This window comes from Homo sapiens, chromosome 6 (genome assembly GCF_000001405.40).
Source record: "Homo sapiens chromosome 6, GRCh38.p14 Primary Assembly".
Lineage (NCBI taxonomy): Eukaryota > Metazoa > Chordata > Mammalia > Primates > Hominidae > Homo > Homo sapiens.
The window spans coordinates 131,606,721-131,632,682 of NC_000006.12; the positions used below are offsets into that span (position 1 = coordinate 131,606,721).

The 25,962-nt window shown below is 36.9% G+C and overlaps 1 protein-coding gene across 15 annotated transcripts in view, besides 2 other annotated features; it reads right to left on the reverse strand.

The window, feature by feature from the left end:
- MED23 (mediator complex subunit 23) overlaps positions 1-21,593 on the reverse strand; it is a 54,348-nt gene extending 32,755 nt beyond the window's left edge. For 7 of the 15 annotated variants that reach the window (NM_001270521.2, NM_004830.4, NM_001376524.1 and 4 more), the window contains exons 1-12: positions 21,291-21,522; positions 20,921-20,952; positions 20,676-20,763; positions 18,145-18,269; positions 16,631-16,742; positions 15,161-15,259; positions 13,908-14,009; positions 13,107-13,176; positions 11,687-11,799; positions 9,187-9,282; positions 3,326-3,526; positions 1,208-1,351 (exon numbers count right to left, since the gene is read on the reverse strand). In NM_001270521.2, coding sequence (NP_001257450.1) covers positions 1,208-1,351; positions 3,326-3,526; positions 9,187-9,282; positions 11,687-11,799; positions 13,107-13,176; positions 13,908-14,009; positions 15,161-15,259; positions 16,631-16,742; positions 18,145-18,269; positions 20,676-20,763; positions 20,921-20,952; positions 21,291-21,329 — 1,221 coding nt within the window. In that variant the 5' untranslated portion in view covers positions 21,330-21,522. Of the gene's footprint in view, positions 1-1,207; positions 1,352-3,325; positions 3,527-8,603; positions 8,622-9,186; positions 9,283-11,686; positions 11,800-13,106; positions 13,177-13,907; positions 14,010-15,160; positions 15,260-16,630; positions 16,743-18,144; positions 18,270-20,675; positions 20,764-20,920; positions 20,953-21,290; positions 21,523-21,542 lie in introns of those variants that run through there. The other 8 variants (NM_015979.4, NM_001376517.1, XM_047419565.1 and 5 more) reach the window with 5 other exon arrangements.
- Positions 21,162-21,211: an enhancer, noted in NCBI's record as "active region_25066". NCBI's record gives its function as "activates an Ori minimal core promoter by ATAC-STARR-seq in GM12878 lymphoblastoid cells {active_cell/tissue: GM12878}" and the evidence as "EXISTENCE:reporter gene assay evidence [ECO:0000049][PMID:35858748]".
- Positions 21,342-21,511: an enhancer, noted in NCBI's record as "active region_25067". NCBI's record gives its function as "activates an Ori minimal core promoter by ATAC-STARR-seq in GM12878 lymphoblastoid cells {active_cell/tissue: GM12878}" and the evidence as "EXISTENCE:reporter gene assay evidence [ECO:0000049][PMID:35858748]".

Genomic DNA, 25,962 nt, shown 5'->3' on the forward strand with positions numbered 1-25,962 from the left:
TTAGCATATCATGTCTTACTTTAGCCCCGATAATTCAATAATACAAATCAGAAGGTCTAACAGCCATAAAATTTTGAAATTATTACAAGATGCTTTATTTGGTATATGTTTTTACTTGCTTTAAGTAACACATATTCACAGGTGCTTGGTCAAGCTTTTCCTACTATCGCAGAGCATTCTCAAATAAAAATAAATTTTTAATTTTTACTTTTAAAAAATTAAAACACATCATCATGAAATCTTACTAAAGTGACAAATGTAACTAAAAACAAGACTTTCTAAAAGTCTCATAATAATTTTTAAGAACAGATAAAAATCTAAGAAATACGCAACCTAAATAATTACATTTAAACATATTGACTATTAATGGGTAAAATGATATGGATGTCTGGGATTTGCTTGAAAATTGTCCAACATTAACAAAAAAAATAAGGAGGAAAGATGAAACAAGAGTATTTCTTGATGATGGGTATAACATGGTGGGGTTACAGCTAGTGCATGGTGGGGTTACAGCTAGTGCATGGTGGGGTTACAGTAACCCCATCATGTTATACCCATCATCAAGAAATACTCTTGTTTCATCTTAAAATTTTCTGGGCAGATCACCTAAGGTCAGGAGTTCAAGACCAGCCTGGCCAACACGGCGAAACCCTGTCTCTACCAAAAATACAAAAATTAGTCGGGCATGTTGGCATGTGCATGTAATCTCAGCTACTCGGGAGGCTGAGGCAGGAGAATTGCTTCAACCCAGGAGGTGGAGGTTGCAGTGAGCTGAGATCACGCCACTGCACTCCAGCCTGGGTGACAACAGTGAAACTCCTTAACAACAACAACAACAACAACAACAATTCATGATAAAGTACTTCTAGAAAATGGCAATCATCAAAATACATCACATTTTACTCAAATATCTTATATGATAAAATACCCAGGGGACATACTGAGGCTCAACTGTCAAAGAAAAAATAGCTATTAATAAAGACTGTTATCTGGCCATTCAATGATGTATATAGATTAAAACAGCTTTAGTGATTTGTAAAACTGTAGACCTACCTAGAATGTAGAGAAAGAGCTTGCTACACTTAACATTCAATTGTGATTTAGCATAAACTTTAGAAATACACAAAATCACACTAAAATCCTTAAACATAAATTAGACATAATTTACTCATCATGTTGTTATGAATAGTTACTCAGTAAAGCTTACTTCTTTTTCTGGGTATAGCAAGTCGAAGAGCTTCATCACAGGGAGAAAATCAGCTAGTGCATTTTTCTGAATACTTCCAGAAATGAATTGCAGGAGAACCCACATAAGATGATCTCTGCCTTTAATCAGTCCTCGCCCTGCTAACTATAAAAGATGTTTAAATACACATGTATACACTGCTACTTAAAGAGATGAATACAGGAAGTTTTTGTTGTTTTTTTGTTTTTGTTTTTAAGGAGAAACCTGGTTCTTGCTCTGAGAAAGTCAGCATCTAACTTTGGCACTTAGTAATTACTTAGTCTCAATTCAAGACACACCATGCAAAACCTGCTAAATTATTTTAATATTATATATATGCTTATTTCCTGCTCCCCAAAACAACTAATGCATATAAAAATGCAATGTTTTAGAACATAGTCATATACAACATGCACAACACCACCTCTTTAAGTTGATCATGTGTGCATGAGAATCAAGTTTAATATGGGATAATTCTTATTTTAAAAATCTCATCAAAACCTGGGGAATACTCTATCACACCAAAAGGATTTTTTTTTTTTAATTTGAAATTGTCATGGACTGGTTGTCATAAAACATGCTTCCTCATTTTCTGTACACTTTGTTTCTTGTTTATTTATATGTATCTTTTTAGAACAAGGATAGAGATGGGGTCTTGCCATGTTTCCCAGGCTGGTCTCGAACTCCTGAACTCAAGCAATCCACCGGCTTCGGCCTCCCAAAGTGCTGGGATTACAGGAGTGAGCCACCCCACCCGGCTGGTTTTCTGTACATTATAACAGAAACTAATGGTGGTTTCTGGGAGAAGGTGGTTGAAAGGATTTTAACAATATTTATGAAAAATTTTCCCCAAGATAATTCATGCTGTGGAGATGTTATGTAAAACAACTTTTATTCCCATTCAATATGTCTAAAATTTTTGACAAAAAATGTCTTTTCCCACAAACTTAAGTCTTCCACTTGTCTCCCTTTTTTGGATTCATCGTCCTCCCTTCTATTCATTCCCACAGTAGGAACCACTCAGCAAGCCTAGACTCCCGCTACTCTCTGTATTCGCTGTCAGTCACCTAGTCCTATTCCACGTCAGTGTACCTGATCTCTGGCTCCTCCTTTCTGTCCTGGTTTAGGCCTTCAGCATCTTTCACCTAGTCCACTGTAGTATCTCTCACTAATTTCCTTGCTTCTGGCTTTGTACCTGTCCATCGCTACACCACCTTCTTTCTCCATGTGGACATTAGCATTTTTCCAACTTGCATATGATGATGCCATTCTCCTCTGCATTGCCTCCAAAACAAAATCTAAACTCCTTAGAACAGGCACATGGCCATTCAAAGTTCTCCATGTCTGCTCTTGCTTTCCTGCCTTCCTTATCTCATCAACGATTTCCCCTTTATATTTTTATTTCCAGTTCTCACACATCTCTATCCCTTTCTAAATGATGGTTTTATTGCTAGGAAACACTTTTCTTTTTCTCTCAGCAAGTTTCTATTTGTCCTTCAAGTGTTAGCTTAAAGATCTCTTTGATACAGCCATCCCTGATATTTCTGATAGAGACTATTCCTTTTTTTTTTTTTTTTTTTTTTTTGACACAGAGTCTCGCTCTGTCGCCGAGGCTGGAGTGCAGTCGTGTGATTTTGGCTCACTGCAACCTTAGGGACTATTACCTTTTATTTGTATTGCAGGGAAATGTGCTTTCATTATAACAACTATTAAGATATAATCATGTTGTGTGTGTGTGTATGTATATACATACATATATATATGTACTCTATATATATATACACATACATATATATATATGTATATATATATATATAAAGTATCCCCTCCTCTAGTGAGGTGCTCCTTGAGGATATTACAGTGCCTTTTCATCTTGTATCTGCTGGTGCCTGCACTGAGAATACATAGAATGAATGACTGAATCCTGTTTTTACAGTGACAAGAAAGTAAAAAGTTAAGAAACTATAAAAGCACTAAACAGGACAGAAATTAGGGCTCAGAACTTCTGTCAGTTCTAAAATCACTAGGGAATGCCCACAGCAGTCTAAAATACAGTAATCAACAGGTGAAGTCACTCCGACCATAAGATTTAGTACATACCTTCTGATGAAGAGAAAGCACCATATGTGGAAAACTTGCAAACTGGAAAAGCACAAAGAAAATGAGCTGACTTGAGAGATGCTGCCACAGGAGTTGGCTTGTTCCCCCATCGTCAAACTTCTCCTCGGTCTCAGATCGCTCCATGGCATAAACAACCAGATCCACCAACTGGTCCTCCAGCACAGGGCAGCGCTGCTTGTGCTGTAGGGCAGAGATTAAATACAGTATTCCAAAAGCCTCTCGGTTAGTTTCAGAAGTTACCAGTTAATGGGCATTAATTGTAACAAGAGGCTGAGAAGCACGGAATGAAGTTGAACTTAAGAAGTCAAGGTTAGATTTAGTCTATTAAAGCTGCATCATGTTATATTATTATACAGGATAAGCTTCATGAAAAAATGTTTTCAGGTTTCCTACAAAACAGACTTCCCATTAACTTTTGACTTCCACTATGGACATCATTGTTTCAATTTGACAAAGGGCAATGCATAGTAGAGAATTTTGTTATTTATCCTTTGGAAAAAGATAACATTTTAAAGGGCATATGAAACAGGGATAGCAGTATTAATTTTGCAATCTAAGTCAAAAGATGAAAACCCTGGATTTACAGGCATCAAACATTGTGACAGAACAAATAAAGCAGTTATGTGAATCTCTTTATTTTAAAGTAACCCCTATAAGTTTACACTAACTTTATATACAGAGGTATATCTAAATAGCTACCAGATTATTCAACATCTGTTTTCAATGTGTGGTATTCGTCCTGATACTGAAATGGAAACTTCTTCCACAAGAGGAAAAAAAATTGATCTCTCTGCTCTTCCTTCTTGGAAGCCAAACATAATGCAGCTTTAATTTTAAATTAGACCACTTTAAAATCTAAAACAAGAAAAAGAATTGAGTTTAAACACTAAAAATGAGAATGCAACTTCCCTTTCTAGAGGCAAAAAGATCTGTGCTTTTAAAAGTGATTTAAAAAATATATTTTTACCAAAAGAAATATGTTAAGCCATGTTTAAGCCATTTTCATATTTCCTTTATAAATATGTTATATGACTTAGTAGCAGGCAGTTGGAAGCCCTTCTAGTGAATACAATTACTAATACAGATCTTTCCCCCTAAACTTTAGATGTGATTATCAGTCTTTTGCCATGAAAAAGGGATATGATTTTTTCAAATTTAGGGAAAAAAATGCAAAATGGGGACAAATTTGGAAATAAACAAGACATAATGAATAGCATCCCCTCTTTTGCATGCTCTTTGCCAGCTCCAAACTTGTAAGCTCCAATATAGCTGTAGTTTCTTAAAGCATGCAAATAAAACAAACATCTATCCAAATGATAAGCATCAATGGTTGTTTCATATTTTTTCCAAAAACACAATGCCATGACCACAGTTCAATCACATTACAGGTTTACAAATAGCAATATTAACACCACCAGTTGAGACTACAGTACTTTTCCTCCAAATGTAATTATCATTATGAAGCAGAGCAAAGTGCAACAGACAACACTACAGACTATTTCTTAAATCAGCATGCAAAACTACTGTGTACAGGGCTTGAAATTCACTAGTTCTGCCAACCACCAACAACCTAAGAAATGTGTCAGACAACACAAATTTAGAGTGAGATCATTCAAAGTATACAGAGTCAGAAAAAATTGTGAAAAGAAGTAAAGCCAGGATTTCCAGTAGGAATTTTTCACTAGTGATGGGAATTTGCTTCCAGTTTGGAAACTGACCAATTTGTCATCTATTTCTCCATCCATAATGGTCTTCCATCAATCTGCTTTAGGAAAAAAGAGCAAACTAAATAAAACTAGTTTTTAGCACTTGAGTCACTTTGGAGTTTCCTTTTTTAGTATTAGCTATTTAAGAAAAAAACTGGATTTTCACCTACATATTTTTAGGCATGTAGTGATTATCATACAGTTAATGATTTTAAAAGGAAAGCAAAAATAGTACGATTTTGACAAAGCAAGAACAACTAGGAAATTTACAGTTAAAGCTGATGGTCTTTCAATATATGCCATGACTCAAGATTACCCTTAACTTTTCTGTCAAAAATTAAGTCAGGAATATCTACAGTACCTAATGCTCCGGTACCTGATGGTAGCAGAAGAGCTATCAGGATTAACTACAAATTTCCCAGGTGTTTTTGGTTAAAACCAAGGATATTTCTCAAATCAAGTTTAAAGACAGCTTAAATATGTTGCTTTATCTGCAAATTTTGGTAACATCAAAAAAAAAAAAAGAAAAGTCTGAGATACAAAATGATCTGTGTTGCTACTTCAGAATAATAAACTGCTTTAGTTTTCAATTATTTAAAGACAGGTACATTAAAATTAAGACTCTCTACTACATAGCAGATGGTTTTACAAAGTGGAACAAACATTTGTAAAGCAGTTTCAGAATCTATGAATAAAAGTTAACTGTCAATCACTAGGCTAAGATTATTTCATAAGCCAATGGATGCTATCCCTATGACTGTTCACATCTTGTTTTGTGAAAGCTTTGGTGAATTTAAGTCTTCAAAATACTGACATATATAGTTAAATTTGTTAGTGTACATCATAACTATATGCCTATTTAGTTAAAACCTGTTTTAAGAATATTTACATTCAATATTTTAACAATTCTATTTCTACCTAGTAGCCCAAACTATACTGAAACTTCATTTAATATTTTCAGCTTTGATAAAAGCTAAAAATCAGGCAAAAGACATTAATAGAAACATTAATATTAACCCTCGACCTATGCCCAATTCCTTCCCAGCACTATTTCAAATGGCAAATGATGTCGCTTTTCAGTCTTAGCATCTCATATCCTATATTGAGTGGTACTTGACGCTTTTCATGTACAGTTCTCATAATGCTTTTGCAGTGAAATTTTAACATACTGTACTTAGGTGAGCTTAATTTTAAATTATTTCAGTGATGTAAATAAATTTTAAAATAATATCTATTCAGGAGAAGTTGGGAAGAAAAATTCTTTTCAATGTCATTTTCTCTTTCAAAATCATATTCTCTGCTTTAACCAAGAAAGTTACCCATAATCAGAATAATTTCAAAGAGAAACTTACTGATTAACATAAGATCAAATGAATGATGAATACTTCACTGTCTCATAGTAGCCAGGGTTCACACACCACACTATGTAAGAGCTTGAGGAGTGTATCTGTTTTGTAGTGCTTTTATTCAGCAGAAAGAATACAAACTCTCGTGTAAGCACATAAAAAAGATTTTTCCATTGTGAGTTGAAGTCTAACGCTCCACCTTGCAGGTCATGAAACTGGGCTATTTATGACTTGCTGAATGTAACCAATATTAGCATAAAATATAACTCAATTCCTACTGGAAAATGTAATATGAACAGCTCTTAAGGTTTCAAAAGCTGTGAGTAAATTATCACATTGCTAGAGAAAGGACAAGAAAGTATAGTGTAGGATGTAGTTCTGTAATGATAAAAGATGTGATAAGATGACTTGGTTATCTTTAATCATATGCTTCTTATACTGTGTGTTCTCGTTTTCTAGTCTACTTTCCAGTAGGTAAAAATATCAAGTCAACTGAGCATATTATCTTCTGTCTACACATCCCCTAACTAAAAGTTTTCTATGAAAACGATTACTGATGAATTGTGAATTTTTGACAATGTTTACACTACAGTGGTACCAATACTAATAATGTTCTGTCAGCATTTCCATTATAAACTTTATTTTTTATGGATTTATGTCTTAGTCATAAACTTTTTTTAGGTTGAAACTTGTTACCGAAATGATCAGATCAGAAATACTCTCAATTGTTTTGTCAATTTCTAGTTTGAGAAGAGCTGCCCGCCCCCAAGAGAAAAAAGCTTAGGATAGCTAAGGATATCTGGGGGAGGGTATTTGCAGCTCAAATGACCATGGGTACATTTATCCACCAAACTGTAAAAAAATTGAGTCCAGTATGACTTAAGGTTCACTGTAAAAATTAGTTTTAAAACATAGCATGAAGCATTCTTTCAAAGTTAACTGAATACTTACCTCTAATTCAATGAAAGTTGATCAGAATTAATGACTTGGTATTTAAGATGTTAAATTGACAGATTATATGAGGTACCTGTCAGATACTCTAGTGTGAAGCAGTTTCAGTTTCACATGTACAAAAGCTTGTCCAAACAAGGAAACTTGGCAAATTTTTCAGAAGAAAAAACTTAAAATAATAAAAGAGATACTGCTATTAGGGTGAGGTTTGGCATGCAAAGTTTCAACACTGAGCAAGTTTTATGGCCAAGCTATATGTCCTTAAAAATAGGGCTTTATAAATGGAAGCACTGGCACAACCTTCACTATAGTATTGCAAACAGTAACGCTATTTTATATAACCTAGACAAGAACGTCTTTTTAAAATCAAAAAGCTGGTCTATTTTAATATGTTGGGCTCAAAAATTTTTAACAAAAATAATTGGAACCACTATTTTGTTTAAAATATCAAAGGTGAAAAGTCCTGGAACAGACTTGGGACTGTTAAGAGTTTGATTTATAAAGTTTGGCCATAGTGTTTTTCTCCCACCACAGGTGAGCTCCAGTTGAGAGGAGCTCACTCTAGGAGGAAGGCACTTCTGGCAAAGACTGACAAAGAAGGGTGTTTGTCAAGCAGGTGTGGGGTCACCTAAGAGTCTGACATTTCTTAGTCAATCCCCATGTTTCCAAAAAAGCCTTTCCTGTATAAAGTTTACCACTCCAACTTTTAAAAGCAGCATATCTCTATTAAAGTGCCTTTTTTCTCTTTTTTGTGTTGTTTTTAATTTGTTTTTGTTTTAAGGCAAAGCAACATAAGTATTTTTGTTGTTGTTATTTTTCTTTATTTGTTTTAGTAGTCTGGAAAGATAAAGGCCACCACAAATCTTTCCATCTCTGAAAATTCCACCAGGCTAGCTTTAGCCCTAAAGTAGGAAAAAGTAAATGGAGTGGGAAGGAAAAATAAACCATCAAAAAGTGACAGGCTTCATTGAGTGCCAGGTGTTGTCTCTTTGTTACCAAAAAAAAAAAAAAAAAAAGAAAAAAAAAGAAAAAAGAATATTAAAATAACAAACACCAAAAAAACAAAAACAAAAACAATCCACCAAAAATAACTCTCATATCCCAAGAAGAAATCGTTTTTTAGTGGCCTTGGTCTCAGCATGGTCCTGCCAATTTCAAGCCCCGACCATACACGTATTCTCTAAATGGAATCAGTGGCTACAAAGCGGCCAGCGTATCGTTAGTCACAATACAACAGTAAGGTTGTGAACATACCTGAGCAATGTTCAAGGTCTAGAGCATTGGAGGATGGGCAGGACAAGACAGGACAGAACAAAAATAAAGGAAGAAAAAAAGAAAAGACAAAACAGTGACTATGAGGCCAGCCTCAAGGAACCCAGAGTCAGCACAAACCCTCCCACATGTTAAACCACCAAAAACAAGCAAACACACACCAAAAAAAAAAAAAAAAAAAAAAAAAAAAAAAATCAGCAAGAAGGCCACGCTGAAGATACCAAGGGTTATATAAAAATAGACACCCAAACAACAAAAAAAGTCAAAAATTATGGTTGAGTCATGTGTAGGTTTCTCTGGCAAAAGGTATACTTGAAACTGGCCTTATAGAAAAAAAAGCAATGCAAAATAAACCAACTTTAAAAATTTTTCTTTTTAAATTTAAACATTCTTAAAGCAATATATAAATGATAGGAATAATACATTGTTTAAAAAACCATGTATATTTTTAAAAGTCACTAAATAGTTCTTAACTGTTTTGCTCAGTTAGCTATAGCAAAGAAAAGAGAAAAGAATAGTGCAGATTCTATGCAGAATTTACTAGGTTTCCAGCATAGTACAGTACCTGCTTATTTAAACCTAGCATATTGCAGACCATATCCCTGGAATAAGGCTGCTCCAATACATATCTCAACAAAGCAGTCTGTGGTTCAAACAGATCCTTTAAAGAAAATAAGAAAATCATTGCTTCAAGATCAATGTCAACATTAATCCAAATTATTAGAAATGAGATTAAAAAATCCTCTAAAGGCACTTGTTACCTTCACAGAGTAGGCAGTATCTAGTGGGAAAAAAATCATAGGATTTTAGTGCTTACAGTTCATCTGTTCCCACCCCTCATTTGCCTCATTTGACACCTGAGATGAAGTGGCTTGCCCCAAGGTCATACAGAGGGTAACAATAAAGATAACACTAGCACCAGACCTTCCAATCCCCCTTCCCCAGTGCACTTTCTACTATCCTTTCCCTGAAAACGCAGAAGGTTTAAATTTTTTAAATTTTAGCATCTCACTAATGTCAATTTATATAGATTTTGTCCTAGGTGCTCATGTTTCCTAGACATAAAGAAGCATCATTAATAATATCTTTGCTTCCTTTCTGTTAAAACTTAACAAGTCAATTTTCTAGAAGTCTTTCTAGGCATGTAAGTATAGAATTTCTGATAGCCAAATTCAGTTTATAATAAATAGTACTAGGCCAGGCATAGTGGCTCATGCCTGTAATCCCAGCACTTTGGGAGGCCAAGATGGGAAGATCTCTTGAGCCCATGAGTTTGAGGCCAGCCTGGGCAATATGGCAAAACCCCATCTCTACAAAAAACACAAAAAACTAGCCGGGCATGGTGGCATATGCCTGTAGTCTCGGCTACTCAGGAGGCTGAGGTGGGGAGGGTCACCTGAGCCCCAAAGGTTGAGGGTGCGGTGAGCTGTGATTGTGCCACTATACTCCAGCCTGGGTGACAGAGTGAGAGCCTGACTTAAGAAACAAACAATCAAACAAAAAATAATGCTAGAAAGTGACATTAAAAACAAAATCTTTTTCAGAGTTTTCCAAATGACAGGCTGAATATTTATTCAATGTCTTGAATATAGACCAATCAATTCCCTATTTTCCTAGTAAGATTCAAAAAACAGCTTTTTAGCTTAAAGCATATCAACTTTTTGAGAAGTAGATGAAACAGTGATAAGCCTAGTTATATTTGTTAATTTTGCCTGCCCATACTTAAAATATATTAATTTAAAAATATTAATTTATATTTAATTTATATTTATTAAATATATTAATTTAGAAGGATTTCATTTTAGTTTATTCTAACTCTTCCATGATGCTAGATGGTTTCTAAGTCATCTTACGGCTTTCTAGAGCACATCGTTTTCATTTCTATCTGTGTCGCTGGGGACATAGCATTTTGATAGAGTCAATGAAAGTTTTTCTTCTTATCAACCTCAAGTACTATTTGCATAATGTTAGCTGGATTTTTTTAAATGTCCCCTTAGGTGGATGGACGGATAGATAGAAAAAAAAAAACACTTCATATACCGATTTTTAAGATAATCTTTAAAAGACTATGCTATTGTAACTATGATGTAAAAACCTTAGAAACAGTTACGGCATTAAATTTCTTTTTTTTTTTTTCTTTTAAATTCATTCCCATCAGCCTGTAATCCCTCTCTATTCACCCCATCTACCAGAATGTCTTTGTTTACTGTTCCTTTCTTCATTTTAACAGTAAAATGTCTGGGAAAGGGGTCTGAGTACATAAGCATTCACTTCAATGTGCTAATTTTAAAGAATTCCTGAGGCATTTAAAAACAGAATAACCAAAGTGACTGTTTTACAAAGACATTCTTATAGCAAGAGTTGACAATGTAGATATAGTTGTAAAAAGAGCAACTAGGCCCAAAAAATTATCAGTTCAGTCAGCAAGACTGCTCACTAATGCAACAATTTAGAGGGACTGGTGCCCCTTAAAGGGTATATCAAAATTTCAGTGATTTGAAAAAGCATACCCTCGTCCCTTTAGGGTTAAACTCAGAAATGTGACTTCAGATATAGTCACATTAGTCTTAAGTATCATTGTAAGGAAGTAATTTTCTGCTCGGAAATGTAATCTAAGAAGAATGGAGACAGTTTCTAAATTCTGTTTTACAAGTGTAAACAAAAACACTATTTCCAAATTTGGAAAGACAAATAACTTGATAGCACAGGTGTTAAGAGTGTAGATTCTGGAATTAGACTGAGTTCACATTTAAAAAGCTCTACTACTTTTAAAATGTGAGGACTTAATCAAGGAATCAATTTAAAATTTCAGTTTGCCATTTAAAATTTCAGTTTCTCACCTCCAAATACTTTGCCAGAGGTGGACCACTGGAGCATAAACACCCACAATAGCATAAACCACAGGGTATATTTAGATACTAGAATAACATGATAAACTATAAACTATCTTTCATTAAATATTTACTTCTTCAGATTATGAAGCAACAATTTAGCATCACATATCTTATAATCTAGGTTGAAGACTGTCAGATGGACTAAAAGTGCCATTATATTTAGCAACATACCTTATCATATGGCAAAAGGCCTTTCAAAGGAAAACGAAGAGTAGCAGGATCCAGTTTCCATGAATTACAAATGGCACCCGAATTATTTACAACTGGCAGAAGACTACAGCGACCTGTATGTATTACAAAAATGTTTTTAAGTAAATGTGAACACAGCAGTACTTCATTCACTTCACAAATATTTAATGAACATATATGCTGAAATAGGCATTGGTTTGGTTTAAAAATGGCTTATAAAAATGTTTCAATGAGACTGAAGGTTGGGAATTTTATTTTTAGTTCAGATAGTTGAAGATCAATTTGCACAGGCTTTCCAAAGTTGAAAATATCGCATTTTGTCTAAATGTCTAGGGCAGAGATCAGCCAACTATAATCCATGGGCCAAATCCAGCCTGGCACCTGTTTTTGTAAAGTTTTATTGGAACACCACTGCTTTTGCAGTCCAATGGCAGAGCTGAGTAGCTGCAACAGATTCTGTAGCCTACGAAGCTTAAAATATTTACTACATGGCCCTTTACAGGAAAAAGTTTAAGACCACTAGTCCAGTGTCAACATGATTAAACTTTATGCACGATATTCCTAGAGGCCTTAGATGTCACATATGACTATCAGCTCATACATCCAACTGCCTAACAAATATCGTCACTTGGATGTCCTACAAGCACCTCAAGCTTAACATGTCTCAAATTCATCATCCTTCTCCAACCTACTTTGCTTCCATAATTCACTACATGATATCAATATCCACTCAGTTACAAAAGCTAGAAACCTGATAATTATCTGTCTAGTGTCTATTTAGATTGTATTTGTATTTTCAGTATCTAGAATAGCACCTGGCTTATAGGAAGTACTCAATATTTGATCACTGAATAAACAATGGTCTATATTTCCACACAGTTGAGGTCACCATGATTTCTAGAAATAATTAAAGAGGATATGTGGGCACTGCAAAAATTGCCAAATCACATGGTTATTTTTAAAAGAAAGTTCAGAGACTCTAACAAAACATGGGAAAATGCGAAAGGAAAAGCAAAAGTGGGAATTAGAATGGGCTGAGTGAGCCTGACACTTTCACGTTCTGTAGCCACAGAGGGACAGGTCTGTTCAGACTTCCAGCTGCCTAGAAATTCCATGGTGCTTTACTAGCTGTATTAAAATGTCTTTCTAATCACCAAGAAACCCACTTCTAGAATGGTTTTAAATGAAGCTTAAACCCATTCCAGAGAGTTTCTTTTTCCTCCCTGTACTTGGCACACAGAGTAAGTGAAAACAAGGGAAAGGCATTATATTAAGCTCTTAGAGAGTCACCAAAATGACAAGCCACCAAGGCACATATTAAGAGAACATCCCTCAGCTTTGTTCAATAATTAGATTACTAAAAATCAGGTACTATTTGGCATATTTAAAATTATAATCCTACCACAAATGGAGTTTATCCTTGCTGTGGGCCTGAAGGTATCCACAAAGTCTGATACTAGGTTTCCAAGTAACTAAAGAGAGAAAGAAAGAGGGAAGTCAAATAAATACGTACAAAAGGAAAATTGAGACTGCCCCTGAAATATATGAACATTTATATAAAATGAGATAATATATGTAAAGATTGCACATGATAACTGTTTAAAGGTTAGCTCCCTTTTGCTTCCTTCTAAAAAATCACTCGCCAGTTCATCTGTCCCTTAATTAAACCAAGTCACACCACCATATCCTTAGCTATTTGATGAAGCTGATCATATTTTATTACATGGCATATAAATTCTCAATGGAAATGGAAATGAAAGAAATACATCATGATTAAAAATATACATATTATCTAAGGATAAAAGTCATCATTAAAAAAATAAGCACACAAAAATAAGATTAATATAACTGTTTTTTATAAAATACCCTTTTTTGTGTGTGAGACAGGGTCTCGTCCTTTTGCCGAAGCTAGAGTACAGTGGTGTGATCACAGCTCACTGCAGCCTCAAACTCCTGGTTTCAAGTAATCCTCCCACCTCAGCTCCTGAGTAGCTGGGGCTATAGGCATGTGCTACTATGCCTGGCTAATATGTGTGCGTGTGTTTTTTAATGTTTTGCAGAGACAGAGTCTTGTTATGTTACCCAGGTTGGGTCTTGAACTCTTGTCCTCAAATCATCTTCCCACCTTTGCCTCCCAAAGTGCTGTGAGCCACGAAGCCCAGCCGAAAATTTTTATTAAAAATTCAGGAAATATAAAATTTACCCAGTGTGGAAGTTTGCCTTCAGGATACAGTTTCCTGATCTCAGTGACTGCAAAATAGGCTGGTAATAAGCAGGCATTTCTTTCCAAGATATATGCTATAACCTAAGAAAAACAAAAAGGCCACATCATTCTTGACTAGTCCCACATATAAGCCCTTTATTTTATTTATTATCATTATTTTTTTTTTTTTTTGAGACAGGGTCTTGCTCTGTTGCCCAGGCTTGGAGTGCAGTGGCGTAATCATGGCTCACTACATCTTCAACCTCTGGGGCTCCAGTGGTGTTCCCACCTCAGCCTCCAGAGTAGCTGGGACTATAGGTGTATGCCAGCAGGCCCGGCTAACTTTTTAATTTTTTGTAAAGACAGGGTCTCCCCAGGATGTCCTGGCTGGTCTCTAACAATGGGCTTAAATGAGCCTCCCGCCTTGGCCTCCCAAAGCACTGGGATTACAGACATGCGCCACTGCATCTGGCCCATGTGAGCGTTTTAAACACTACAATGACAATGACAACAAAAAAGACATTAAAAAGTAGAGATGTTACTTTCTGGAGAGATGTTGGTCAAAGGACAAAATTTCACTTTGACAAGAGGAATAAGTTCAAGAGACCTACTGGACATTATGGTGACTATGGTTAATAACGATATAGTGTATACTTCAAAATTGCTAAGAGAGTAGATTTTAAGTGTTATCATTATAAAAAAATAAGTATATATAATATATATACACACACACAGACAATTGCTACTTGTCAATTAAAATAAAATATAGAGATATTATTTAATGGATTTATTGGGTTTCAACTGTAGCAAAGAATACATTTATATGTAAAAAATATCTAAAAATAAAGATTAATAAACAATGGAATGGATTGTTCATGGTTAGTAAATAACCTTGCACATGCTTTAAATATTGGCACACTTAAACAGGAGTGCAACAGACCAACGTAACAATTCTTGCGATACTAGTTACAAAGTACAAAGATCTTTTAAGTGGTCCATATGCTAAGGTCTTGTAATGTTTAAGCTATTTTAATTTCTATTTCATTGTTTTCATAATTTAAAACCATGAATTAAAATTTAAAATGTCCTTTTGAAATATAAGGGAACTAGCATCTTTTAAAATAGAAGTGATTTTTTTTTGGTAGAAGAAATAGAGCATCTCACAAAATACCGTAAGTATTAAAAGCACAGACCTAAACAAAGCTAGACTTTTTTGAGGTTATGATCACGAATTTCAGACATGTCTAAATTACCTCTCTTGCTGCCAGAAGCTGCTGTACAACAGCAGAGCTCACTGTATTAGGAATTGTCAAAATCTTCTCCAAAATCACTTTTAAGAGATCTCGAACACCCTGATATAAGAAAAAAGACATGGGTTAAAATTAAGTAGTGTCTACTGTGTTAGCTAAAACGTCCGAAGGTTTCAGGGTGATATATTCCTTCAAGGTCACACCTTTAAATTTTCTGAATCAGTTACAATCTAAGTCCCTAACATTAACCCAACAGAAGAGTCATGTTCCAAAACAGAGTTCTAAAGACTGTCTTAAAATACAATGAGCAAAGAAAGTCATTATACAGTTTGTCAAGCTTTTTTGGCCCTCATAACATTAGAAGGGTTTACGTTGTTACAAGGGTCAAAAACCTTAATTATACATATAGACAGAAATATATTGTAACAAGACTTCAATGCACTCTGAAAACTTGAGTAACAATATCAAACTTTTTGGTAGAGGACTGTTTCTGCTCACTCCCTTTTGTGCTGGGATTATAGGTGTAAGCCACTGTGACTGGCCTATTCTCCCTTCTCATCCATCACATACCTTAATCTCTCAAGGATATCCAAGGCTATTCTGTTAATCATTTCCACATATCCAATACCAGTTACATTATCTGATATATAAAGAAGAAATTTCATTCAACATTTATTTATTGACTATGAACTACGTAACCAAGCTTGTAAAAGACAGAACATATACCTAAAAGAACAATTATGAAGTATCATACAAATAAGAAAATTGCATAAGTCTGAGTAAAGAGAAAATAATTAGCAAAAGCTTCTTAGAGTTAACTGTGTGATAAATCATGATTTAAACTAATAATTATCTGTTAGGTCATTACCTGTTAAATCATTTCAGATTAGAGAAAATGCAGAAATAAAGCACAGGGTCAGACACTGGTAATTCCCGGGAAAAGGACAATAACAAAAGTCTCCTGAAGATGCAGAATGGCTTTTGTAGCTATGGAGTCCCTAAGCCGTTTTATGAGACAAAACTAGAAAGTGTATGTTGTTTTTGGTCAAGAGCCCAAAGTGCTGAAGATATTAATTGAGGTAAGACCCACGTTCAAGAGAAGTGAAGCCAGGTCTTGCTCCCTTCATCAGTGATGCCTACATCCCTTCTCAGTTCCACACACCCCTGCTCTGTGCTTTCATTTGAAGGGATCATAATACTTGCAGCATGAAGGAACACGGATTCTGCTTTGTGACTTCCCTGCTCTTCATAAAAATGTATCAGCTACCTGTATTTATAAGAATGTTGGGAGGGGAGTAGCGGAGCCAGGGAAACAACTGAGTAACTTTAAATCTTTTCAGGAAATATACCACAAGAAATAGACAGATTTTGTAAATGCTTCCACATCATTTCTCTCACCTGAAAATAAGACATGCACACCGAAAAATCAATCATATCTGAAAGCAATCACTTTTTATAATAAGAAAAATATACCTTGTAATCCACTCCCCCAATTATTTTCCGAACCAGTTTAAATGTTAAGGCCCAAAGCTGTGTTCTTTCCCACTCAAGAGTGTCAGAGTTTATCAGGGATTCACAAACCAGCCTATAAAAAAAGAAATAGCCATTCCAGTTACAAGACAGAATTTTCCAAGTTCTCTAATAGCCGCCAATATGGTTTGGCTGTGTACTCACACAAATCTCATCTTGAATTGTAGTTCCCATAATCCCCACGTGTCATGAGAAAAACCATTTAAATCATGAGGGACAGTTCCCCCAATACTGTTCTCATGATAGTGAGTTAGTTCTCACAAGATCTAATGGTTTTATATGGGGATTCCCCCTTCACTGGGCACTCATTCTCTCTCCCACCACCCTGTGATGAGGTGCCTTTTGCCATTATTCTAAGTTTCCTGAGGCCTCCCTAGCCATGCCAAACTGTGAGTCAATTAAACCTCTTTCCTTTATAAGTTACCCAGTCTCGGGTATATCTTTGTTAGCAGCATCAGACAGACTAATACAGCCATAGTCTGTGCACTGTATTATATTTATCCTCACAAGTGTCTTTCATAAAAGTGATTACTAAGCACACTTATAAATCTGTGTAGTATTTTACATTTTTTACTTGTATGAAAGATCAAAAACAAAGTAAGAATGAAATAATATTCATTATGTTATATTTTACTAGAAAGAAGTCTATCTAAAGCTTTCGGTTAGATGTTTACCATCTATCACCTTGTGGTACACTGGATTTTTCCAACAGGATGGCAACAAGATTTTTGATCCCACATCTTCTTCTGAAATGTGACACTGACATTTCTCCCAAGGAGAGGTAGGGGGAAAGTCTACGTTCTCACTCCTTAGATCTGGGCAGACCTAAGACTATGGCCAAAAGGATGCAGTATGACTTCCAAGAAGACAAGGTGATACAATTTCTGCCTAGCCCTCTTTTGCACACTTGCTGTTAGGCTCCACCATGAGGTGAGAAAGTCTAGGCCACAAGGTGAGGGCCTGCGGAGGTTCTGGCTAATAATCCCAGCTGAGGTTCCAGATGACAGCCAGGAATCAACCACCAGATATCTGAGTGGGGAAGCTTTTGCCATGCTCCAGCCCTAGCCACATTGATCACAATCATTATGACCTTGAGTAAAAAGTGTCTCCTAAGCCGAGTCAACCACTAAAACCATGAATAATTTTAAAACCTGAGTATTACTGTTTTAAGCCATAAGGTGTTGAGGTTGTGCAGCAAAAGTAAAGGGTTACAAACTAATTAAAGTGATTAATTTCAGCCCCTGGGCAGAAACATCTGGTTTTGAGCCCACAAGCATTACCTAATTCAAAGACTATTACTCCTAGAAACTAAAACCTGAGGTATTATATAAAGGATTACTTGATAAACCTCACCTTCTTCTTCATTCTCTTACCTTTTTACAACAACAACCTCAACCAATTTCCAATCACATATAGAAAAGAAAATTCTTCAGATTGCTCATACCCATTAAACGTACCTGGGTGGAAGGAGACCAGTCTCAACTGCCATTGCTAAGCAGTCATAAAGAAAAGAAATTCTTTTAGGACTATGCTGACCATGAATAAACTTAACAATCCACTGGATACACTGTTCATGAGACTCCTGGAAAATGAGAGAATGATTTTACTTGGGGTCTAAAGTTACATTTTTATAACCAATAGCTAATACTACAACTGGAAGTATACCAATACTATGAAAGAAATACTTCACTATGAGCATCTGTGGATGAAAATAATTTTTAAAAAAAGCAAAATTAAAAAATTCAGATTTAGTATTTGTCACATTAAGCTTAACATTTTGTAATTACATAGATAAAATGCTACCATTTTTATTACATGGGAACTTCAAAAGTAGTAATTAATTAGTTAACATATTAACGGTCAATAGAAAACTCTTAACACAGATTGTTGTAAGGCATTGTAAACAGTGCCCTTTATGGCATATATAAATATTACTGTCACTGGGGGTAAAATTCATTATGGATCAGTATGTATCAGGCTTAGGAGAATTAGGTGTGAATCCAATCCCTAAGATCCCAAACAAGAGCCCATTATGAATCCAATGACATGTCACATTTCTAGACTGGCAAAACTTTAAATACGATGTCAAAATGTTGTGCCCGTATCAAAGTTTGTCTTCTAGGATTATCTCCAAAAAGAGCCTATAATGTTCTGCTTCTCTCCACAACCACTGTTCTCATACATACTTCTATTGTGGCACATATAACAATGATTTGGAAATACCTATTTTCTTCCTGGTCTCTCCATTAGAGGGCCACATCATAATTCATAAAGTGTTTAATGAATTTTTTTTTAAATTTTGGAAAGATATTCAACATCACTGAGAGAAATGCAAAATAAAATTATACTGAGATAAAATTTCTCATGTTTTTGATTGGCAAAGATCAAAAAGCTTAACACTCTATTGTGAGGTTATAAGAAAAAGATACTCTCAGCCGGGCGCGGTGGCTCATGCCTGTAATCCCAGCACTTTGGGAGGCCGAGGTGGGCAGATCATGAGGTCGGGAGATCGAGACCAACCTGGCTAACACGATGAAACCCCGTCTCTACTAAAAATACAAAAAATGAGCCGGGCGTGATAGCAGGTGCCTGTAGTCCCAGCTACTCGGGAGGCTGAGGCAGGAGAACGGCGTGAACCCGAGAGGCAGAGGTTGCAGTGAGCCAAGATCACGCCACTGCACTCTAGCCTGGGCGACAGAGTGAGACTCTGTCTCCAAAAAAAAAAAAAAAAAAGAAAAGAAAAAGATAATCTCAAACACTGCTGGTGGAAGCATAAACTAGTATAACCCTTATGGAAAATTTAATAATTTCTATAAAAATTACAAACTGATAAGGCTTTTGACTCAGCAATACTATTTCTAGGAATTTATCCTATTTTTCATGCATAATATTATTCATCACAGCATTGGTTAAATTAGAAAAAGTAAGAAGAAACTTAGAAGACAGTAGAAGATTGGTTAAAAGGAGGAAGGTACAGCCATACAATGGAATATTATGCTGCTATTTAAAAAAAAAAGTAAGAAAGGAAGGAACAAGTAACGCTTGGACTGATAGGGAATTACCTGTAGATTATTATTAGGAGAAAAAAAGTGCTAATTAATGAACAGTGTACATGGTATATGATCATGCTATAAAAGTGTTTCTATATGCATAAAATACTTCTAGAAGAAAACATAACCTGAGGATATTGGCTACAGACAGAAAAAATAACAGGTAAGAGAAGAGAAAGAGACTAGTTATTGGATCCACCCTTTTATACCTGTGCATTTTGAACCATATAAATGTATTACCTATTAGAAAACAACTAAACAAAAAGGTTAAAACATGACTGTATTGGCATTATATGATCCATGTCTGAGTGGCAAATCTTATCACCAGTGGCTGACACGCAAACAGTTCTCATTTCCCTACCTATAGTGTACCATGAGAAGGTAAGGCACTACTGCAATGTGAGCTCTTCGAGGATGACACATTTTTGTCTTTTTCACGGATACATTTTCTGGTAGCTGTTCTTTGTTACTTTTACAGTTTGTCTCCTCATTTTTACTATAATATTTTCCTATCCTTATTATAGAATCTTGGTATTCCTATTGTAGCATCTTTGTATCAATGCTGTGCCAATTCCTTTATTTAGCAGAAAAATGGAATTTGTATCCTTGACAAGTAAAGCTTAACATATCTGTTTTCAAGTGTACCAAATAAATCCGAATAGGATGAAAATGATCTCAATTAATCTAACATAGGGGAGGTTTTTTTTTTTAAACATCTCACACTGTGCAGTATCAACTTGACTTCTCAACACAGGTTTTCCACTGAAATATACAAATTAAAACAAATGGAAGCCAGAATAAAAAATGATAACAATTTTATTTCTCCCTTCTCAGGAAGATCTTAAGAGCAGCATGAAAGTAAATGTTAAAAGAAAAAAAAAAAAAAAAAGAAGAGGCCAAAAATCATCAGCTGAATGTATTAAAAATGAAGCGCTCACCTGAGAAAGACCACCCCAAAACTGTCTGAAGGCCCCCAAACAGCTAATTAGTTTTGTTTTCTCATCTTCAGGAGTATCCATAAACATGCTAAAAAAATAAAAATTACATTATTTGTCATTCGTTTTAAAAAGGTAATTACACACAATCAGAATAGTGGATCTTATAACCTTCCAACACGAAACTAAGTAAAATCTGACAGACACAATCACATAAAAACACAAAACTCTGCCACGCATACACTCACCCAGGAAAAGCCTCTTCTATAACTTCCGTTTTCTGTAAAAAAAAAAAAAACAAAATGTAAACAATGTTAATTTTAAAAAGGCGCCTCCCTTAGCCAAGTATTACAATGTAACACAGGGCAAGTCACCTTAATCAGCTCTGAAACTATCAATACCTGTCTGGCCTGTCACTGTATCGATTTCAAAGGATACAATGAACTTGACAGCAGTTTGAGAATCACTAAACTTCCCCGCATACAACCTCGGTGTCAAAACAAGGGAATAAAAAGGGAGGCGTGAGAGGAGGTTGCCCAGGCCAGTTTCCTTGGTCGGCTGCCCCCGCGTCTCCCCGTCCCCAAGCCGTAGTCCTGGATGGCCGGCAGCTGCACTCACCACCACCTCTTCGAAAATGCTCTGCAGTTGCGTCTCCATCTGTACTATCACCCCCGCCTTTCCAGGGTGCCCGGCAAGGCCCGGATCAGACTCGAGCTCTGGGAATATAGGGGCAGAGGGGCGGAGACCTCTGGAGGAAACCGTAGCTCCTCGGCGTCGCTTCCTCCCCCAGCGCTTTACCTGGAGCGTTCCCTCCCGAGCCCAGCCAACAGCAGGAACCTGTACGGAAGACGGGAAGGGCCCGGTACGCGCCGTTTGCAAACCCCGCAGAAACCAGCGGCGCCACCAGAAGGTTCCGTCTGTGGAGAAGGGCGGCCCGCAAGCCGGACGAGAGCGCCCCCAAACGGAACCTTGAGCCCAAGGACCCCGGAGGCATCGTCGACCGCAGGCCGCCACCTCCCGGCTGGAGAAGGAGTTGCTTCCTGTTCGGGGCTAACCCGCTTGCAGACTGAGAAATGAAAAGTTTGGAACCCAGAAGCTGCAGCCTGCGGAAAATGCTGGAGCCGCAGCCGACACCAAGTTGATGTCTGTGAGCAGCTGACCTTCTGGACCTCCATCAGCGGCCTGCAGCCAGGAGCTGAAGCCACAGAGACGGTGTCTTCTCAGCTATGATAACCTCAGTGCAAATGTAATTGATTGACTTTTGAATGCCAAACCAATTTTGCTTCTATGGTATAAATGCTACTTGGTCATAATATATTATCCTTTTTAATATATTGCTAGATTCTATTTGCTATTATATTGTTGAGAGTATGTGTTTTTCTTCATATGCCACCATCATCACCAACCCCTAAAACATCTGTTATGTCTTGAATGATCAGCTTTCTTTGCCTCATAAAGAAAATTGTTGATGAGAGTCATAGACATCCAAAGGCCTTTCACTTCTTTGACGGTTGTGAAATGCCACAAACTGCTAAGCATGAACTACTCCTTTGTAGCTGCTAAGTGATGAGCTGATGACTCCCCATTCATGGTTTTGTTATACAAGTGTCTGACCTGGCATAAATTTAGTTTTCTAACAACTTTAATATGCACATGCAACCATGTTGTCCACACAATAGCTACTAAAAGCTGAAAAGAAATAATTCAGATTTCCTGCTGGAGAAAAACTTGAAAAGTTAGGCTTAGGGTATTGTTTGCTAGGGTTGCCATAACAAAATACCACAGACTGGGTGGCTTAAACAACAGAAATTTCTTTTCTTGTAATTCTGGAGGCTGGAAGTCTGAGGTTGAGGTTGATAGGGTTAGTTTCTATAGAGGCCTCTGTCCTTGGCTTGTAGATGACCTTCTTCTCCTTGTGTCTTCACATGGTCTTCCCTTTGTACATGTCTGTGTCGTAATTTTCTCTTCCTAGAAGGACATCAGTCAGGTTAGGGCCCATGTATCTACTCTAAAGAGCTTTAGCTTAGTTGAAGACATAGACATTTTAAACCATAATAGAGTGTGATATGTGCAATACTAGTGATGCTAATAAAGTGCCAGGGAGAAAAGGAGGAAATACAAATTTTTCTACAGAAAGGAATTTAGAAAGATACCTAGGGGAGTTTGCTTAGATTGCTGTGAACAGCATACTATAAACTGGGGGGTAATTTGAGTCTGAGCAAACTGAAAGCTGAGAATTCAGGCTTCTTGTTCCATCCTTGTCCTATCAGGATTTAGAGTGGGGGACTAAAGAGCCAACTGGAAACTCTGAGCAGCTGGGCAGGGCTTATCAACTTTGAGCATCTTTATAGTGTGTTCTGGGGACATTGTTTCTTGGAGAATCCCCAAAGTTGGTATCATCAGGTCTTTCCCCTTAGGCTGGTCTGAATCACCAAGGAAGATACATCTAATCTCTTACAAGTGGGTAAAGTTCTGACTGGCTGCCAACCTTCTTGCAGCCAAAAGGAACAAGAAGCCTGATCTCTTACAAGTGGGTAAAGTTCTGACTGGCTGCCAACCTTCTTGCAGCCAAAAGGAACAAGAAGCCTGAGTTCTCAGCGTTCAGTTTGCTGAGACTCGAATCACCCCAGTTTATAGTATGCTATTCACAGCAGTCTGAGCAAACTCACGTAGATATCTTTCTAAATCCCTTTCTGTAGAAAAATTTGTATTTCTTCCTCTTTCCTCCTGGCACTTTATTAGCACTACTAGTATTGCACAGATTACACTATATTATGGTTTAAAATGTCTACTTCTTCAACTAGACTAAAGCTCTTTAGAGTAGATACAGAAATTAAACATGCCTGCATTTCCTAACACCTGGCATAAAGTCTGGTACTTGGTGGTGCTCAGTCATTATTCATTACTTTGGGTAGAATAAAAACATCTGAAGTGCCTTTATTTTATGGACAAGACTTCCTCTGAGGTAATAGCTATTTCTGGAATGCTGGATGTAGAGAAAGATTTGGAACACCTACAAAGTTATACCTAGTAAAGTTATTATAATTTATAACAGTTGGGTTCACTGGACATTTATGTATGTGGTAGCTTATACTTCTAATGTTATTTCTGAAACCGTTACAAAATTTATTCAGCAAGTGTTCATTGAATGTCTTCTAGGTGTTGGCCACTGTGCTAGACACTAGAACAAGACTGTAAGCTCAAACTGACCTAGTTCCTGCCACCACGGAGTTGACACGGCAGAGAGGAGTTTAAAGGTTTGGGGAAATAACTTGGTTCATGCCAGGTTTCAGAGATGTAAACAGTACGTGGCCTGTACCTTCTGCTTCATGGATGGGCACCGTGGGAGCACTGTGACACTGAGCTCTACCTCGGAGAGCCCAGGCAGCATGGTTGTTTTATAATGTCTCTTCTGGAGACATCTCTAGAATTTGAGTCATAAATGAGGCCCTCATGAGTACACTAAAAATGAGAAGAGCCTATGAAAACCTGGAAAATGTTTGGAAATCCAAAGATTTCTGAGTTTCAAAATGAACAAGAAAGGGCTCCTAGAAATCTAACACTACTAGGGAATATTTCTGTACTTGAGACAAAGTAAGAGAAACAGTCTTCCATGAACCAGAGACAACCTTAGGAATGCTGATCGTTCAGTAGAAAACAATTGCTACACCACAGGAGTCATCACATCAGGTTTCTCATCTCCAAATTGATTATAGATGTTCATTGTGCTGATCAGTAATGAGATTTTTACTTATTTAGTCAGAAAATATCTTTTCACACACATAGGTACTGGCAAACAGCGGTATCAAACTGTGACCATTGATTCTACTTTGCCATAGTCATTGTTTGGAGGACTAGAGCTGGGCTCTCTATTCCATGCTGGGTGTCTGCTTTGTCTCCTGGTGTGTACCATTGCCTCTCAGACCTGGTTTGGCACTGCTGACATCAGTCTCACCAAGACAGCCAGTTCTCAATTCAGCTTCAGTGTTGGATCTCCACTTGCTGAGGATTAGCTTCTGTCCTTCCTATACCAACTGCCTACCTGGTTAGCTTTCTGATTGCTTTGTGTGCTTGTCAATCTCCTTGTAGGTTTTTCTGCTTTTTCCTCATGACTGGCCCTCCCTGAAGTTAGTCACCTGCCCATCTATCTCTGGCATTATGTTATTATGTGAGGTCTCCCTTCCTTTGTGGACTCCTTCTTCCTTTTGCTGTTGGACCTGAGCCTAGCATCCGCCTCACCTCTACCACCCTCCTCAGTGCGATTAGTTTCTCTGGGCTCTCCCAGTCTAGCTTGTCCACCTATCACCCAAGATCTAGCACTGGAACCAGGAAGGGCAGGTTCCTGAGACAAAGAAGTTGATGTTGGCAGGCCCCTAGGGCTTTTCTGAGACAACAACAACCCATTTGTTGCCAGAATTCTGTGGACACTGAGACCTTCTGTAACATGAGGAATGTTTACGGTTTACATTGATGGGTGATGTAATGGTAGCTGCCTCTCAGAATGCAAGCGTTCTAAGCCATTAACTTACTTACAAATTACTCTGAACATTTTAATGTTCAGAGTAAAGTTTCAGAACCAAGAAGGTACAGGTTGTTCTGAAGTTGAAGAAGAAAAGAAGAGAAGGTACAGATTGTTCTAAAGTTAAAGAAGAAAAGAATAGGCAAACTTTCAAGGTCCAGTTAACTTAGAAAGTGTAGGTTCAGATTTAAGTGACACAGGCAGTCTATTCCAAAGTCTAACTTGCATGGAAGGTGTGGTTTTGGCTTGTGTCTATTGATCAGGTGAACTGTTAAGTTTCTTTCTTTCTTTTTTTCTTTCTTTTTTGAGATGATGGTCTTACTCTGCTGCTCATGCTGGAATGCAGTGGTGCCATCATAGCTCACTACAGCCCCAAACTCCTGGGCTCAAGCAATCCTCCCCATATTCTCCCACCTCAGCCTCCCGAGTAGCTAGGACTACAGGCATGCACCATAACTCCTGGATAATTTTTTATTTTTCATTTTTTGTAGAGACAGGGTCTCACTATGTTGCCCTGGTGGGTCTTAAACTGACATAAGTGATCCTCCTGCCTCAGCCTCCCAAAGTGCTGGGATTACAGGTGTGAGCCACTGCATCCAGCCAGGAATAAGTTTCTAGAACTTGAAAGACTCAAAAGAGGTTGGGGTTTAGAGTTCAGTTAGAGAAATTGTTATAGCCAAAAATATGGCTAGCAACTTGGCAATGCCAACCATCTTCACTATACCTACTTGTATTATACATAGGTAGATTCCTTGAGGTTTATTCATCTTA